Genomic DNA, 16,785 nt, shown 5'->3' with positions numbered 1-16,785 from the left:
GCTTGCAGTGAGACGAGATCACGCCATTGCACTCCAGCCTGGGCAACAGAGAGAAACTCTGTCCCAAAAAAATAAATAAATAAAAATAAAAAGCAAGAGGGCCTTAACAGACCCAAAGGATCTCTTTGGGGCCGTGGGAGAGGCTGGCTCTCCCATGGCCAGTAAAGATGAGGTTTTGCCATGCTGGCCAGGCTGGTCTCGAACTCCTGGCCTCAAGTGATCCGCCCACCTCAGCCTCCCAAAATGCTGGGATTACAGGCATGAGCCACCGCGCCCGGCCCAGTGTGTGTTCTTTGTGAGTGAGAGCTCGTTCCGGACTGCGTGGGAGCTGGTGTGTGTCTGTGTGTGTCAGCTGGGTGAGAAGTATACACCATGTTCATCTGTGAAGTAGAAGGCAGTGAGAGGGAGCCAGCGGCCTGTGTGTTGTGGACTTGGGTGAGTGTACAAGGGCAGGTATGTGAGTGTCTGCGTGTGAGCGAGCATAAGGACATCAGTGCGTCTCACTGAGTGTGTCACTGATAGTGAGATGGGTTATCCATGTGACCAGCAGTGGCATCAACAGGACTGGGGAGGGCCGCGGTGGCTCACGCCTGTAATCCCAGCACTTTGGGAGGCTGAGGCGGGCAGATCACGAGGTCAGGAGATTGAGACCATCCTGGCTGACACGGTGAAACCCTGTCTCTATTAAAAATACAAAAAATTAGCCGGGCGTGGTGGCAGGTGCCTGTAGTCCCAGCTACTTGGGAGGCTGAGGCAGGAGAATGGCGTGAACCCGGGAGGCGGAGCTTGCAGTGAGCAGAGATCGTGTCACTGCACTCCAGCCTGGGCGACAGAGCGAGACTCTGTCTCAAAAAAAAAAAAAAAGAAAAAATAGTAGGACTGGGGAGGAAATGGCTTTTTGGGGGTGTGGCTGGGGGGAGACTCGGGAGTCCCTGAGTGTTGGCGTGTGTTCCCGTGTTTCTGCAGGAGCATCTAGGTGTGTGGCTAGTGTATCATGTTGCATGCACTGTGTGTCTCTGTTCTGCATGTTGGTGCACTGAGGAGGTGTCGCTGTTGAGGCTGGGGAGGGGTGGGTGTGAGTCCCCTTCCCTGGAAGCTTCATGGGCGTGTCCTGCGGGCTCAGGTGTCATCCGCAGCCTGAGGATGGGGTCCACGTGGGCTGGGGTGCAGTGGCCGGTGTGGAAGGGAGGCTGGACTTTCCTCCGAGGAGACGGCTGCTGGGCAGAGAGAAGGAGACATTCCTCGGTGGAGGCGCGAAGCAGCCAGCCAGCCCCATTTGCACCCTACTTTTTCCCAGATGTAGATGAATGCCGTATGCTTGCTCACCTGTGTGCTCATGGGGAGTGCATCAACAGCCTTGGCTCCTTCCGCTGCCACTGTCAGGCCGGGTACACACCGGATGCTACTGCTACTACCTGCCTGGGTGAGCCCAGCCCTCTGCACCTGCACCCTTGGCCCAGCCTGGCCACCTTCTGTGCAGCCCCTGAACTCAACTTCCCTGAGACTTTCCACTTTGCAATGTTAGGCTTTCATTTACAAAGTGGTGCCCAAACCATACAGACAACTGAGGGCCAGGTGTGATGGCTCGCTACTGTAATCCCAGTATTTTGGGAGGTCGAGGTGGGAGGATCACTTGAGACCAGGAGTTCCATAGCAACATAGCAAGACCCCATCGCTAAAAAAAATTAGCCAGGATGGTGGCCTGTAGTCCCACATGCGCCTGTAGCCCCAGCTACTTGGGAGGCTGCTTGAGCTCAGGAGTCTGAGGCTGCAGTGAGCTGATTGTGCCACTGCAGTCCAGCCTGGGTGACAGAGTGAGACCCTGTCTCTTAAAAAATGAAAAACAAAAGAAAAGAAAGAAAGAAAAAAAAAAACAGGCCAGGCATAGTAGCTCATGCTTGTAATCCCAGCACTTTGGGAGGCCAAGGTGGGCACATCATTTGAAGCCAGGATTTCAAGACCAGCCTGGCCAAGATGGTGAAACCCCATCTCTGCTAAAAATACGAAAATTAGCTGCACGTGCTGGTGCATGCCTATAATCCCAGCTACGCGGGAGGCTGAGGCAGGAGAATCGTTTGAACCCAGGAAGTGGAGGTTGTAGTGAGCTGAGATCATGCCACTGCAGTTTAGTCTGGACAACAGAGTGAGACTCTGTCAAGAAAGAAAGAGAGAAAGAAAGGGAAGGAAGGAAGGAAGGAAGGAAGGAAGGAAGGGAAGGGAAGGAAGGAAGAGAGAGAGAGAGAAAGAAACAAAGAGAAAGGGGAGAAAGAGAAAAAAGAGAAGAAAGAAGAGAAAGAAAGAAAAAAGAAAGAGAGAGAGACAAAAAGAAAGAGAAAGAAACAGAAAGAAAGAAAGAGAAAGGGAGAAAGAGAGAAAGGGAGAGGAAGGAAGGGAAGGAAGGCCAAGTGAGGTGGCTCACGCCTGTAATCCCAGCACACTTTGGGAGGCTGAGGCAGAAGGATCACTTGAGGCCAGGAGTTTGAGACCAGCCTGGCCAACATCATGAAACCGTCTCTACTAAAAAAAAGAAAAAAAGAAAAAAAATTAGCCAGGTGTTATGTGCCTGTAATCCCAGCTGCTTGGGAGGCTGAGGCAGGAGAATTGTTTGAACCTGGGAGGCGGAGGGTGCAGTGAGCTGAGATTGCGCCATCGCATTCCAGCCTGGGTGATGAAACGAGACTCCGTCTCAAGAAAGAAAGAGAGAAACAAGGAAGGGAGGGAGGGAGGGAGGGAGGATCCTTTCGTTCTCCCACCCCCACCCTGTTTGGGCCACTTTCCTGCTGTTATTTCTTCCTTTTATTTTGCACATCCTGATATTTTTCAGTTGTGTTTTGTAGCAAGCGTACATCTAAGTCAGCGGGAAGAAAACTCTAGCCCGAGGGTCAAGTCTGGCCCTCCATTTGTTCTTGTCAATAAAGTTTTATTAGCACACAGCCATGCACATTTGTCTGCTTACCCTCAATGGCTGCTTTGCTAGTACAAAGGCCACATGGAGTAGTTGTATCTGAGATGGTGTGGCCTGCAAAACCAAATGTATTTCCCACCTGGCTTTTTGCAGAAAGAAGTGTTCATTCCTGTGTAAGTCCACAGATTTCAGATGGTCGGGGTCTGGTGGAGACCTCAGTCCCTGAACACCCCCAGGGAATGTCTGTCTAACCCCGCCCCACTACCCACGCTGTCCTTCCCCAGATATGGATGAGTGCAGCCAGGTCCCCAAGCCATGTACCTTCCTCTGCAAAAACACGAAGGGCAGTTTCCTGTGCAGCTGTCCCCGAGGCTACCTGCTGGAGGAGGATGGCAGGACCTGCAAAGGTGATGTCCTTTCAACTCTCCCCCACTCCCACCACTGCATGCAGTCTAGGGCCCCAAAGGGATGCCCAAGACATGTCCCCTGCAATCTCACCCCCTCCCATCTGCATGGAGTCAAGCACCATCTCCGAGGTCTTTCTCTTGTCACCCCTCTGCCTGGAGGTGGCAAGGGCAGCCCCTGGGAAGCCCCTAATCCCCCACTGGGCCCTGCCCTGAGCCTGCTGGACCATCCGTGCTGCAGACCTGGACGAATGCACCTCCCGGCAGCACAACTGTCAGTTCCTCTGTGTCAACACTGTGGGCGCCTTCACCTGCCGCTGTCCGCCCGGCTTCACCCAGCACCACCAGGCCTGCTTCGGTGAGTGACCCTTGCCCCTCACCGGGAGGTGACCCATGACCCCAGCATTAGTTATTTTGCTCACCAAAAAAATATCAAGTTGGCCAGGCGCAATGGCTCACGCCTGTAATCCCAGCACTTTGGAAAGCTGAAGCGGGTGGATCATCTGAGGTCAGGAGTTCAAGACCAGCCTGGCCAACATGGTGAAAACCCGTCTCTACTAAAAATACAAAAAAATTAGCCTGGCATGGTGGCAGGTGCCTGTAATCCCAGCAACTCCGAGAAGCTGAGGCAGGAGAATCGCTTGAACTCGGGAGGCAGAGGTTGCAGTGAGCTGAGATCATGCCACTGCACTCCAGCCTGGGCAACAAGAGCGAAACTCTGTCTCAAAAAAAATAGTATCAAGCACCCGGTGTGTATTGGACATTGGGGACATGGGGGTGATCAGAACAAAGTCGTTACTTCCTTAGTGCTCGCTTCCTGGAGGCATCTAGAACCTCCTTCCTCTCCTTTGGGAGGAGAGAGGCCCTCTCGCCTTGGCTTATGGCATCTTGCCTTCCCCCTGACAAGTCCCTGCTGGATCTCCCTCCCAGAGCCTCCCCAGAGCGCTCCTGAAATCCCAGGTCTCACATAGTCCCAGGAGGAAATCAGTTCAACAGCTAAAGCCACAAGGGCATCTGCTACCATCATTGTTTCTTAGTGTCTCGTGGCCCCCAGGGAACACAATCTTCCCCAAAGGCAGAGCCTAGTCAAGGGTGGCCCCTTTCACGCGCCCACTAATCTGCCCAGACAGCACCTACTGTGTACCAGGCAGTGCTCTAGACCAAAGGGTGGCAAACTCCAGGCTGCCAGCCAAGCCCGGCCCCCTGCTTGCTTTTGTTAATAAAGTTTGATTGACACACAGCCAAGCCCGCTTGCTTACAATCACCTGTGGCTGCTTTTGCACTATATTGGCAGAGAAGAGTCTTGGGACAGAGCCTGTTACAGAAACAGAAATGGTTTGTCGGGCCCTGTTATAGACCCTGGGGGTACAGCAACAAACATAAAAGGCAGGGATCTTCCATCATGGAACTTTCCTTCTAGCACAGAATCAAGACTAGAGGCAGACATAACAAGAAATTAACAGAATGGTGTGGTTGGGTGTGGTAGCTCATGCCTGTAATCCCATCACTTTGGGAGGCTGAGGCTGGCAGATCACTTGAGGCCAGGAATTCGAGACCAGCCTGGCCAACATGACAAAACCCCGTTTCTACTAAAAATACAAAAATTAGCCGGGTGTGGTGGTGGCGCCTGTAATCCCAACTACTTGGGAGGCTGAGGCAAGAGAATCACTTGAACCTGGGAGGTGGAGATTGCAGTGAGCCGAGATCGTGCCAGTGCACTCAGACACAGCAAGACTCTGTCTCGAAAACAAACAAACAAACAAACAAACAATTAACAGAATAGTGTGTTCAAAGGTGATGTGTGTCATGAAAGAAAGAAAAAGTAAAAGCAGGAGTTCAGGAAAGAAGGAGAGGGCCACAGGGTTGTTTTGGAGGGTAGGGAGAGGTTTGGTGGTGGTTGTTTTTGGTTATGTTGTCTGTCTGTTTGTTTGTTTGTTTGTTTTAGAGATGGAGTCTTGCTCCATCACCCAGGCTGGAATACAGCAATGTGATCGCAGCTCACTGAAACTTCAAATTCCTGGGCTCAAGCAATTCTCCCACTTCAGCTTCCCTAGTACTTGGGACTACAGGCTCACCACATCTGGGTTTTTTGTTTTGTTTTTTGTTTCTTAGAGATGGAGTCTCTTAATGACTCTGTTGCCCGGGCTGGAGTACAGTGGCTATTCACAAATGTGATCACAGCACACTGAAGCCTCAAACTCCTGGTGTCAAGTGATCCTCCCACCTCAGCCTCCTGAGAGGGCTTCAGTTTTAAGAGAGGGATCAGGTCAAGTATCACCAAAAGAGAACATTTGGCTGGGCACTGTGGCTCATGCCTGTAATCCCAGCACTTTGGGAGGATGGCTTAGGGCCAGGAGTTCGAGACCAGCCCAGGCAACATGGCAAGACTCCATCTCTACAAAAAATACAAAATTAGCTAGAGGTGGTGACACCTGCCTGTAGTCTTAGCTACTTAGGAGGCTGAGGTGGGAGGATCTCTTGAACCCAGGAGGTTGAGGCTGCAGTGAGCAGTGTTCATACCACTGCAGTCCAGCCTAGGGGACAGAGCAAGACTCAAAAAAAAAAAAAAGAGAGAGAGAGAGAACATTTGAACAAAGACTCTTGAAACAAGAGGCATTTCTGTTTCTCTGCAACATTAAAGTCTGTGGCCAGGCATAATGGCTCACACCTGTAATCCCAGCATTTTGGGAGGCTGAGGCAGGAGGATTGCTTCAGCTCAGGAGTTTGAGACCAGCCTGGGCAACACAGTGAGACCCCATCTCTATTAAAAAAAAAAAAAGTAAGGTTTTCACTGGATGTGTGAGCAGCTGCATGGACCAGGGCCGTGCATCACATGGGTAACATCCGTGGAGCAAGGTCACACGTGACTGCTTCTCTCACTAGAAATGAGTTTAAATTCTCAGCCAGGCAGATGGTGGTGTGAGGCTCAACTTGATCAAAAGTCACAAACTTTTTCTGCAAAGGGCTCAAGAGGAGTAAATATTTTCAGCTTTGTAGTTGAGATGGTCTCTGTCGCCACGATTGGACTCTACCATGCTAGCATCAAAGCAGCTGGAGAGATACGTAAATGAAAGACCGTGTCTGTGTCCCAATAAACTTTATTGATACAACAGACAGTGGCTTGGATTTTGTCTCAGGGTGTTCCTGTCTGCTAATGACTAAACTGTTAATAGAAGAGCAAACTCACATGGCCACAGTAGGCCAGCCTGACACTTGGTTTGCTTTGCTAGATGTAAGGGAAAGAAATTGTGGGTGGTGGCAGACATTTCTGTTTTTAATTTTTGAGATGGAGTCTTGCTCTGTCGCCCAGGCTGGAGATTGCAGTGGTGCAATCTCAGCTCACTGCAATCTCACCTCCCAGGTTCAAGCGATCCTCCTGCCTCAGCTTCCCAAGTAGCTAGGACTACAGGTGTGTGCCACCACGCCCGGCTAATTTTTGTATTTTTTGTAGAGACGGGGTTTTGCCATGTTGCCCGGGCTGGTCTTAAACTCCTGGGCTCAAGCAATCTGCCCATCTCGGCCTTCCAAAGTGCTGGGATTGCAGGCCACGGTGCCTGGCTGTGCCAGACATTTCTTCTGGCCAGAGTCTAGAGCTATTCTCTGTGGCCCCTCAAGTGACAGCTCAGGCAGCCGCAGGGGCCACTCCTACTTAGAAGCTTCATGTTCCCATGTCTGTTGTTCCCAAGAGATATTCACTTTTTGTTTGCTCGTTTTTGTTTTTTGAGACAGAGTCTCACTCTGTCGCCCAGGCTGGAGCGCAGGGGCGTGATCGTGGCTCACTGCATCCTCTGCCTCCTGGGTTCAAACGATTCTCCCACCTCAGCCTCCCAAGTAGCTGGGATTACAGGCATGCAGCACCACATCCAGCTAATTTTTGTATTTTTAGTAGAGATGGGGTTTCACTATGCTGGTCAGGCTGGTCTCAAACTCCCATGCTCAGGTGATCTGCCCGCCTCGGCCTCCCAAAGTGCTGGGATTACAGGCATAAGCCACTGTGCCCGACCCCAAGAGAGACTCTACATCTCCATAGATATGTGCTTAGTGTCAAGAATCTCTGTACTCAAGGAAGCTAAAAGCAGGATTTTCCACCAGGAATTTGTTGTTCATTCCTCAAAATCCCAGTTCAAATGCAGTATACCAGCCATGGGCTCCCACCATTGTAGCAATGCTCTCTGGCCATTGTACCAATGCCCTCCTACCATCGTAGCAACCTGGCCATTTTAGCCAGCTCAGGCTGCCATAACAAAATACCATAGACTGCAAGTGTGGGATTTAGCAAATTCAAATCCAAAAACTGGGCCGGGCGCAGTGGTTTGCACCTGTAATCCCAGCACTTTGGGAGGCTGAGTTGGGAGGATCTCTTGTGCCCAGGAGTTTGCGACCAGCCTGGGCAACATAGTGGACAACGTAGTCCCCACTAAAAATACAAAAATTAGCCAGGCATGGTCTTGTGCACCTGTAGTCCCAGCTACCCAGGAGGCTGAGGTAGGAGGCTCACCTGAGCCCAGGAGGCGGAGGTTGCAGTGAGCTGAGACTGTGCCACTTCACTCCAGCCCAGGGGACAGAATGAGATCCTATCTAAAAAAACCAAAATTAACAGTTGGTTAAATGAAGCAGAGCAAATCCACACCAAGTGAAGATGTGGTGGCCATTTAAAATTATGCAAATAAGAATAGTAAGAAAAATATATATATATGTGTATGTATACATATATTTTTAAGATGGAATCTCACTCTGTCAGTCACCCAGACTGGAGTGCAGTGGAACAATCTTGGCTCATCGCAACCTCCGCCTCCCGGGTTCAAGCGATTCTTCTGCCTCAGCCTCCCGAGTAGCTGGGACTACAGGCGTGTACCACCACACCTGGCTAAATTGTTTTGTATTTTTAGTAGAGATGGGGCTTCACCATGTTGGTCAGGCTGATCTCGAACTCCTGACTTCAGGTGATCCGGAGGCTCCCTAGGCCTCCCAAAGCACTGGGATTACAGGCATGAGCCACTGTACCCAGCCCCCAAGAATAGTAAGAATATTTAAAGACATAGAAAGATGATCACAGACTATTCAGTTTAAAACAATAGCTTACACACACACACACACACACACACACACACACGCACACGGACAACCCATACACTGGTTGGCTTAAACTACAGAGATTTATTTTTTTTTCCATTCTGGAAGCTGGGCAGTTCAAGATCAAGGTGGCAGCACGGCTGGTTCTGTGAGGGCTCTCTTCTTGGTTTGCAGACAGCCACCTTTTTGCTGTGTCCTCACTTGGCAGAGACAGAGCAAGCTTTCTGGTGTCTCTTATAAGGGCACTATTCTCATCATAAAAGCCCTACCCTCATGACCTTATCTAACCCTGATCACCTCCCAAAGACCTAATATCCAAATACCAGCCCACTGGGGGTTAGGGCTTCAACATAGGATTTTGGAGAGACACGAACATTCAATCCATGGCACCGGCTGACCTCACACTATTGTCAGGTTTCCATGGGAACAAAACTCAACAGGCAACCCTATGTCATTTTTCCATGGGAGAAGGAAAAGAGGCTTTGTTTATCTTTTACTCTTTTACCGGGCACTGCCCTAAGCCTTTTACATGATTAGGTTAATTTAATTCTCGCATGCACACAAAAATGCAATGAGGTAGACATTATCATCTCCATATACAGCTGAGGACATCGAGGCACAGAGAGGGTAGGTAAGTTGCCCAAGGACACACAGCTTCGAGGCGGTGGAGATGAGATTCTTTATGTGCAGGATCTCAAACATTGGTGCCTATTCTGAGTCAGGAACTGTTACAGATCTCATTTCACAGAGTGGGAAACAGGCACAGAGAGGGTGAGCAACTTGCCTGAAGCCACACAGTGGTGGGACTGGCATTGTGTCACCTGACACGAGTTCCTTAACCAGCAGGCAACCCTGCCTGATCTCTCTCCTCTGCAGACAATGATGAGTGCTCAGCCCAGCCTGGCCCATGTGGTGCCCACGGGCACTGCCACAACACCCCGGGCAGCTTCCGCTGTGAATGCCACCAAGGCTTCACCCTGGTCAGCTCAGGCCATGGCTGTGAAGGTACAGCCCAGCTTTGGCTGGGGTCTAGTGTTTGGGGGTGTTGGTCCTGAGAGCCGTCTGGTAAACCCTCTCTCCCTCTCTCTATGTCTCAGATGTGAATGAATGTGATGGGCCCCACCGCTGCCAGCATGGCTGTCAGAACCAGCTAGGGGGCTACCGCTGCAGCTGCCCCCAGGGTTTCACCCAGCACTCCCAGTGGGCCCAGTGTGTGGGTGAGTGAAAAGGGCTGGGAAGAAGCTGGGCCCTCCACCAGAATCTGCTCAGAGCAGGCGACTAACAGACGCCACCCTGCAAGATGATGTGACAAGCACAATTATCTAAAGATTGAACAGGCCAGCCCAGAAGGTAGTGAGTTCCCCACTGCTGGGGAGTCAAGGTGCAGCAGAATAAGCATCAAAAAGTGTCTGAGTTCATTCCTTAGGGCATGGTGGCCTGGAGGACTCAGTTGAGAAAGATTCTGAGACCTGAAGTCTGCAATTTTGTGATCACAGGGAAAGAGTGCTGTGATTGATTAGTGATGTCTGCCACGAGTGTGATTAGTGATGTCTGCTATGGATGCTGCAAGGGGCAATGGAGGTGTGCATGCTATGTCATTGCCATAGCTGTTGCAGAGGCCCTCCATTTGGGGGGCTAGCCTTCTGCCCCCCAACCTTCCCCCATCTTCTGGCTGCTCTAGGACCTCCTAGCAGCCTCTTTCACTGCTCTTTTCATTCCTCCACTGCAGTGCAGCTTTCACCCTCTACCATTTTCAGGCCCACTTGCTCTCTCCTGAGACCTCTCCTCGGCCTCCATCCTCTACCTCCACTGCTCTGGGCACCACAGTCTGCCCCTTCAGGCTCCTGGACACTCTCTCCTGTGGCCTTTGTGATGTGGCTATCCCTGCTCTCCCACTGCCTCACAGGCACTGCCTTCTCTGCCCCCTCCTTTTGTCTGTCATGGTGGGTCTTTAGCTAAGTTCTTCTTGGGCTTCCCACACCACACGACCCCACCCCCCAGGCAAGCTGCTTGTCCCCTGGGGATCTTGGGGATCCCACAGACCATTGGCCTTTGCTGGCAACTCTTCCTCAACTTGTTTCCTCCCCCCGTACTGACTCATTCATTCTTTCCCCAACTGTTTGCCAAGGACCTGCCTTTCACTAGGCCCTGAGCTCAGATGCAGAAGTGAGCTGAAAAACCATTTCTGCCTTGAGTTTTTCAGTCCAGCAAAGGAAACAGAGATTAATTAGACCCCTAACTAGGTTCTCAACAGAGGACCATTTTACCCCCATAGTACATTTTGAAGTGTCTGCGAGACATTTTTGATCATCACAATTGGGATCCGCCATGGTAGTTCACTCTTGTGGGATATTGAGGTAGGGGGATCATTTGAGGCCAGGAGTTCAAGACCAGCCTAGGCAACATAGCAAGACCCCCCATCTCTACAAAAAGTTAAAAGATTAGCCAGGCATGTTGGTGCACACCTGTAGTCCCAGCTACTCAGGAGGCTGAGGCAGGAGGATCCCTTGAGCCCAGGACGTCAAGGCTGCAGTGCACTATGGTTGCACCACTGCACTCCAGCCTGGGCAACAGAGTGAGACTCCCAACTCCAAACAGACAATTGGAGGCGGATAGGTTTTCCTGGTGTCAAGCGGGTGGAAGCCAGGGATGCTGTTCAATGTCCCACAGTGCAAGGAGGCCTCCTCCCTAGAGAATGATCTGGCCCCAAGTGTCAATAGCACTGAGGGTGAGAAAGCTTGTTCTAGATCATCCCACATTTTGGGGTTTAGGGGAAGTGTTGAGAGATGTTGTGAAGGAGAACCACAGGGTTTGGGGCAGCGGGGCTATGGGGCCGATCTAGTCTCAGGGCTCACTGCCAGCTTGCTGAAGAGTTTGGCATTGGACTTGGGCTCTGAACATACAGCATTCCAGGTGGAGGGCTCTGGGGGTGTGAAGGCTGCACTGCCCCACCTCTGCGTCCTCCCTCTCCTCCTCCTTTCCTCCCACAGATGAGAATGAGTGTGCCCTGTCGCCCCCCACCTGCGGGAGCGCCTCCTGTCGCAACACTCTTGGTGGCTTCCGCTGCGTCTGCCCCTCTGGCTTTGACTTTGATCAGGCCCTCGGGGGCTGCCAGGAGGTGGATGAGTGCGCCGGACGGCGTGGCCCCTGTAGCTACAGCTGTGCCAACACGCCTGGTGGCTTCCTGTGCGGCTGTCCTCAAGGCTACTTCCGGGCTGGGCAAGGGTGAGAGGCTGGAGTGGGGCAAGCAGACTCCATGCCCCGCAAGCGTCCATGCACGCACGCACACACACACACACACACACACACACACACACACACGGGGCTTTGTGCATGCCAAGAATTTACCAGAAGAGCTCCTTCAGCCTGTGCATGCAGGCATTTGCCCACATATGCACAGAGTCCTGGACACGCAGAGGTACAGTGGCACCTGTATCTATTCACACACATCCTCACAGCACTCACATGTAGTTGTCCACATGGCACACACCCGTACCAGCATGCGTGGGCACCCTTGTGCATTTACAGATCCCAGCATGCACACGTGTGTGTGTGTGTGTGTGTGTGCACGCGCGCATGTCCCAGTGTGCACTCAGGCTCATGCATGCCCACATCCCTGGGGGCACAGTGCCATTGCTACATCCTGGTTTGCACAGGTGAGGAAGCACGCGTCAGCCATCTGTGAGTGCTCACACTATACACACATCCCCAGGCACACTCAGGGAGATTCACACATTCCTACGAGCACACATGTGCCTGCATGAGTTATTCCCCATGTGAACACACAGGTTGGCACACGCACATGCCCCTGGGTATGCTCATGTCCATTCATCCATCCCAGCCTGTGCACGTCCTCTCACTCCTGTGTTCACACCTATGCCCAAATGAACCAAGGGACACACATGCACACCCTTATGTGGTGCACACACACTCGTGCACACGGAGCCACACCAGCACATGCTCAGAGGCATTTGTGTGCGTGGGCATTTGCAGCATGACTCAGAACGGAGTATGGGGTGGAGCGGCGTGGCTGGGGAGGTCCCATCAGCCCGCCTCTGAAACCCCTCCACCCTGCCCATCCTGGCCCAGGCACTGTGTCTCCGGCCTGGGCTTCAGCCCCGGACCCCAGGACACCCCGGACAAAGAGGAGCTGCTCTCGTCTGAAGCCTGCTACGAATGCAAGATCAATGGCCTCTCCCCTCGGGACCGGCCACGACGCAGTGCCCACAGGGACCACCAGGTGACATGGGTGCTGCACTAGGCAGGGGTGGCCAGGGAATGGGTGAGTGTGGGAAAGAGGCTGTGGACCCGACTTAGTCATGTCAGCCCCCCCAAGAAGGAGCACCAGGCTCCAGATCCCAACAGGTTCCCCATGTCATGGTGCCGGCTTAGGGCCTTCTTGTGCTTTCTCAGCCCTGGGATTTTTCTTGGGGGGGGTCTCTGGGGGACACATCTCCCGGACACTCTGCCTCACTCCTGGTGACAAGTCAGGCGTCTTCCATACAGACCCTGGCCGGGCTGTGATGCTTTCTATGGGTCCCTTTTATAAAGGCACTTGGATGCAGGGAAATACCTGGGCCCCTCCAACCCTGCCTGCACCCTGGAATCTGTCACCCCCTCACCTCCTGGTTGGTGAAGGCCTCCCTTGGGACCTTTTGGGATTTAGTTCCAATGGGGCCCTAAGTGGCCTTTGTACCACAGCTCTGCCCATCTCAACTCTTCTGTGCATCCCTCTGGGCTGTTCTCACAAACCCTTAGGCCAAGTTAAGCCCAAGCCCCTTCCCTGTCTGAGCCTTGGGGAGGTGAGTCTTTTCTCTGGGGACCCCAGCAGAGGCTCCCCTTAGGAGCCCCAGGGCCCCAACCTGACATACCCACTCAGCATCTGCCCTGTACCCCTCTTGTGCCTGAGGTGCTCCTGGAGTTCCTGAACCTGCCTTGTCTCTAGGAATCTCAGGGATCTTCAACACACCACTCAGTAGCCGTAGGGCAGGCCTATGGCTCCATCCCTCCTTCCCTCTCGGGCCACCCCATCAAGGTGTGCAGAGAGGGCATTTTTGCCACAGATGCCAGCTGCTTGCCCCTCAACTGAAGAGTCCCTGACTATGGGTCAGTCCTGCAGCCATCACCCAAGGGATCTGAAAGCCAAAAATGTATTAAACACCTGCTGTATGCAGGTATCACTCCAAGTGCTCTCTGTTCACAGCCTCTCAATGTTTATGACAACCCTGGGAGGTGTAGATGCCACTATTTTTTTTTTTTTTTTTTGAGACAGAGTCTCACTCTTGTTGCCCAGGCTGGAATGCAATGGCGTGATCTCGGCTGACCGCAATCTCTGCCTCTTGGGTTCAGGCGATTCTCCTGCCTCAGCCGCCCGAGTAGCTGGGATTACAGGCGTGCACCACCACGCCCAGCTAATTCTGTATTTTTAGTAGAGACGGGGTTTCTTCATGTTGGTCAGGCTGGTCTTGAACTCCTGACCTCAGGTGATCCACCCGGCTCGGCCTCCCAAAGTGCTGGGATTACAGGCATGAAGCACTGCACCCAGCCTAGATGCCACTATTATCCCTATTTTACAGATGGAGGAACTGAGGCTCTGAGAGGTTAGGGCACATGCCCAAGTTACAGAACTTGAACGTGGTGGTTCAGAGATTCCATGGATATGGCACGTGGACTTCTCTTTACAAGCAGCCTTGGCATCCATGGCCAGCCATCCTGGGCCCCTCTGTCTTCCGAAGCCATCACTTTACATTGTTTCCCAAACAATTATCACTGAGCATGGAAACCATTACCCCAAACTCACCCCCACTGCAGACATTTAGGTCGAAGCTTCTTCACTCCACAGATTTTACTGAATACCACTGCTGGGCACTGTAATGGAGCAACAGTGAACAACAACAACAACAAAAACACCTGCCCTCGTGAGGCTGATATTCTAAAAGGGAGACACACAAGAAATCAACATGTAAAACATATCATCTTTTATAACACATGACAAATATGATACATGATAAGTGCTATGGGGAAAAACAAAGTGAGACATGGGATAGGGTTATTGGGCTTGAGAGGCTTTCTATATTAGATAAAATGTGAGTGTATTACTTTGTATTACTGAAAGGCCCTTTTTCCCCTCTAGTTATTTTTTCCCCCTTGCTAGGAAAAACTGTGGATGTATATATTATCCCATAGTTACTGATATTTTCTGTAAACTTCATAAGGGTAGAGCTGTGTCTGTAGGATTTACTACTGTATTGGTACCCCTTGGTACTCAATAAGAGTGAGTGAGTGGTTGTCAGGGTCCCAGGGCAGAAGTAGATCAAGACAGAGAAGGGCTAATTTTTGTATTTTTAGTAGAGATGGGGTTTCGCCATGTTGGCCAGGCTGGTCTCAAACTCCTGGCCTCAAGTGATCAGCCCACCTCAGACTCCCAGAGTGCTGGGATTACAGGTGTGTGCCACTGTGCCCAGTCAAGGCCAGGATTTTGAGACCAGCCCGGGTAACATAGTGAGACCCCCTCCACCTACAAAAAGTAAAAATATTAGCCAGCTGTGGTGCCATGTGCCTGTAGTCCCAGCTACTTGGGAGGCTGAGGCGGGAGGATTGCTTGAACCCAGGAGTTCAAAGCGGCAGAGAGCTGTGATCACACCTCTGCACTCCAGCCTGGGTGACAGACAGACCCTGTCTCAAAAATAGGGCTGTATTGTGCCTTTGCCTGCAATACCCACTGACTGCCAGCAGGGGTCAGTAAGAGCATAAGTCTTAACAACATTCCGTGGGAAGAAGGCCTGAGATCTCCAGAACTGAGGGGCTGGGGAACAGGAATAACTTTCACTTGAATGCAACAGCAAAACACTCCGTCGGCATGTAAATGAGGCCAAACCAACACAGTGCTCCCTAAAACAAAGGCAAAGAAAACACAGATGACTTTCTGTGGGGTTGGATACGTCACCCAGCCCTGGGGTAGCCTGCCATTGAGGCTCGCTGTCTTATTCAGGGCCCTGTCCAGCTGCCAAGACCAGGAAGGCACTTCAGAGGAGCTTAAATAAAGAAGGGTTTGTCATTGGCACACAAGGGGCTCTCAAAGAGGGCCAGATGCAGGAAGCACAGCGGAAGCTATCAGGCGGCTCTTCTGTCTGGTCCTTTACGCTCTCCTCTCCAGCCCTGCTTGGCATCCCGTTTCTCTCACTGTCAGCTCTGGCATTCTTTTAGGGGCTGGCTTCTGCTGAAAGGCCCTTGTTCCTAACACCAGCCATCCCAAGACATTTCTGAGTGACCTTAGGGCTCTGGGTCGCAATGTCATCTGAATAATCCCCTGGCTGCTGGGTCTCTGAGAGCAAATCTTTGATACCTTTGGCCCAGGCTGGCAGGGGTCTGAGCAAGGTCCCTCAGCTGGGACTAGGGGTCTGTAGTGTGTAACAGTGGCCGTTTCCCTGCCTCTCTCAGAAGCAGCCTCAGCCTTATGCCACTGAGTCTACAGATCCAGCTGACCTTGCGGATGAACAACCAGACTTGAGATGCCAAGGGAAGCAGTATTTTCCTCCACTTTATTTTTTTATTGATTTATTATTTATTTATTTATTTATTTATTTGAGACAAGGTCTCACTCTGTCACCCAGGCTGGAATGCAGTGGCGCAATCATAGCTCACTGCAGCCTTGAACTCCTGGGCTCAAGCAATCCTCCCGCCTCAATCCCCCAAGTAGCTGAGACCACAGGTACATGTACCACCACACCTGCCCAGCTAATTTTTGTATTTTTTGTAGAGACGGGGTTCACCATGTTGCCCAGGCTGGTCTCAAACTCCTGGGCTCAAGTGATCCACCCACTTCAGCTTCCCAAAGTGCTGGGAGTACAGGCATGAGCCACCGTGCCCACCCTATTTATTGATTTTTTTTTTTTTTGAGACGGAGTCTTGCTCTGTCGCCCAGGCTGGAGTGCAGCAGCGTGATCTCCACTCACTGCAAGCTCCGCCTCCTGGGTTCATGCCATTCTCCTGGCTCAGCCTCTGGAGTAGCTGGGACTACAGGCACCTGACACTACGCCTAGCTAATTTTTTTTTTTGTATTTTTAGTAGAGATGGGGTTTCACCTTGTTAGCCAGGATGGTCTCAATCTCCTGACCTCGTGATCCACCTGCCTGAGCCTCCCAAAGTGCTGGGATTACAGGTGTGAGCCACTGCGCCCAGCCTATTTATTGATTTTTAAAATCAATTTATTTTCTTTTTTTTGGGGAGCAGGGTCTCACTCTGTCACCCAGGCTAGAATGCAGCAGTGCAATCATAGCTCACTGCAGCTTGAACTCCCAGGCTCAAGGGATCCTCCCACCTCAGCCTCCCTAGTAGCTGGGACTACAGGTGTGCAACACCACACCTGGTTAATTTCTTGTATTTTTAGTAGAGACAGAGTTT

General features: G+C 51.7%; 1 protein-coding gene across 10 annotated transcripts in view; it reads left to right on the top strand.

Moving 5' to 3' along the window:
• Nucleotides 1–16,785, top strand: part of FBN3 (fibrillin 3) — an 84,191-nt gene that overhangs the window by 64,923 nt on the left and 2,483 nt on the right. For all 10 annotated transcript variants that reach the window (NM_032447.5, XM_017027372.2, XM_017027374.3 and 7 more), the window contains 7 exons: nucleotides 1,298–1,423; nucleotides 3,190–3,312; nucleotides 3,551–3,667; nucleotides 9,259–9,387; nucleotides 9,480–9,599; nucleotides 11,373–11,607; nucleotides 12,472–12,622. In NM_032447.5, coding sequence (NP_115823.3) covers nucleotides 1,298–1,423; nucleotides 3,190–3,312; nucleotides 3,551–3,667; nucleotides 9,259–9,387; nucleotides 9,480–9,599; nucleotides 11,373–11,607; nucleotides 12,472–12,622 — 1,001 coding nt within the window. The remainder of the gene's footprint in view (nucleotides 1–1,297; nucleotides 1,424–3,189; nucleotides 3,313–3,550; nucleotides 3,668–9,258; nucleotides 9,388–9,479; nucleotides 9,600–11,372; nucleotides 11,608–12,471; nucleotides 12,623–16,785) is intronic.

The sequence above is a fragment of the Homo sapiens genome, chromosome 19, assembly GCF_000001405.40.
Source record: "Homo sapiens chromosome 19, GRCh38.p14 Primary Assembly".
Lineage (NCBI taxonomy): Eukaryota > Metazoa > Chordata > Mammalia > Primates > Hominidae > Homo > Homo sapiens.
This window is presented reverse-complemented; position numbering and strand designations above follow the sequence as displayed.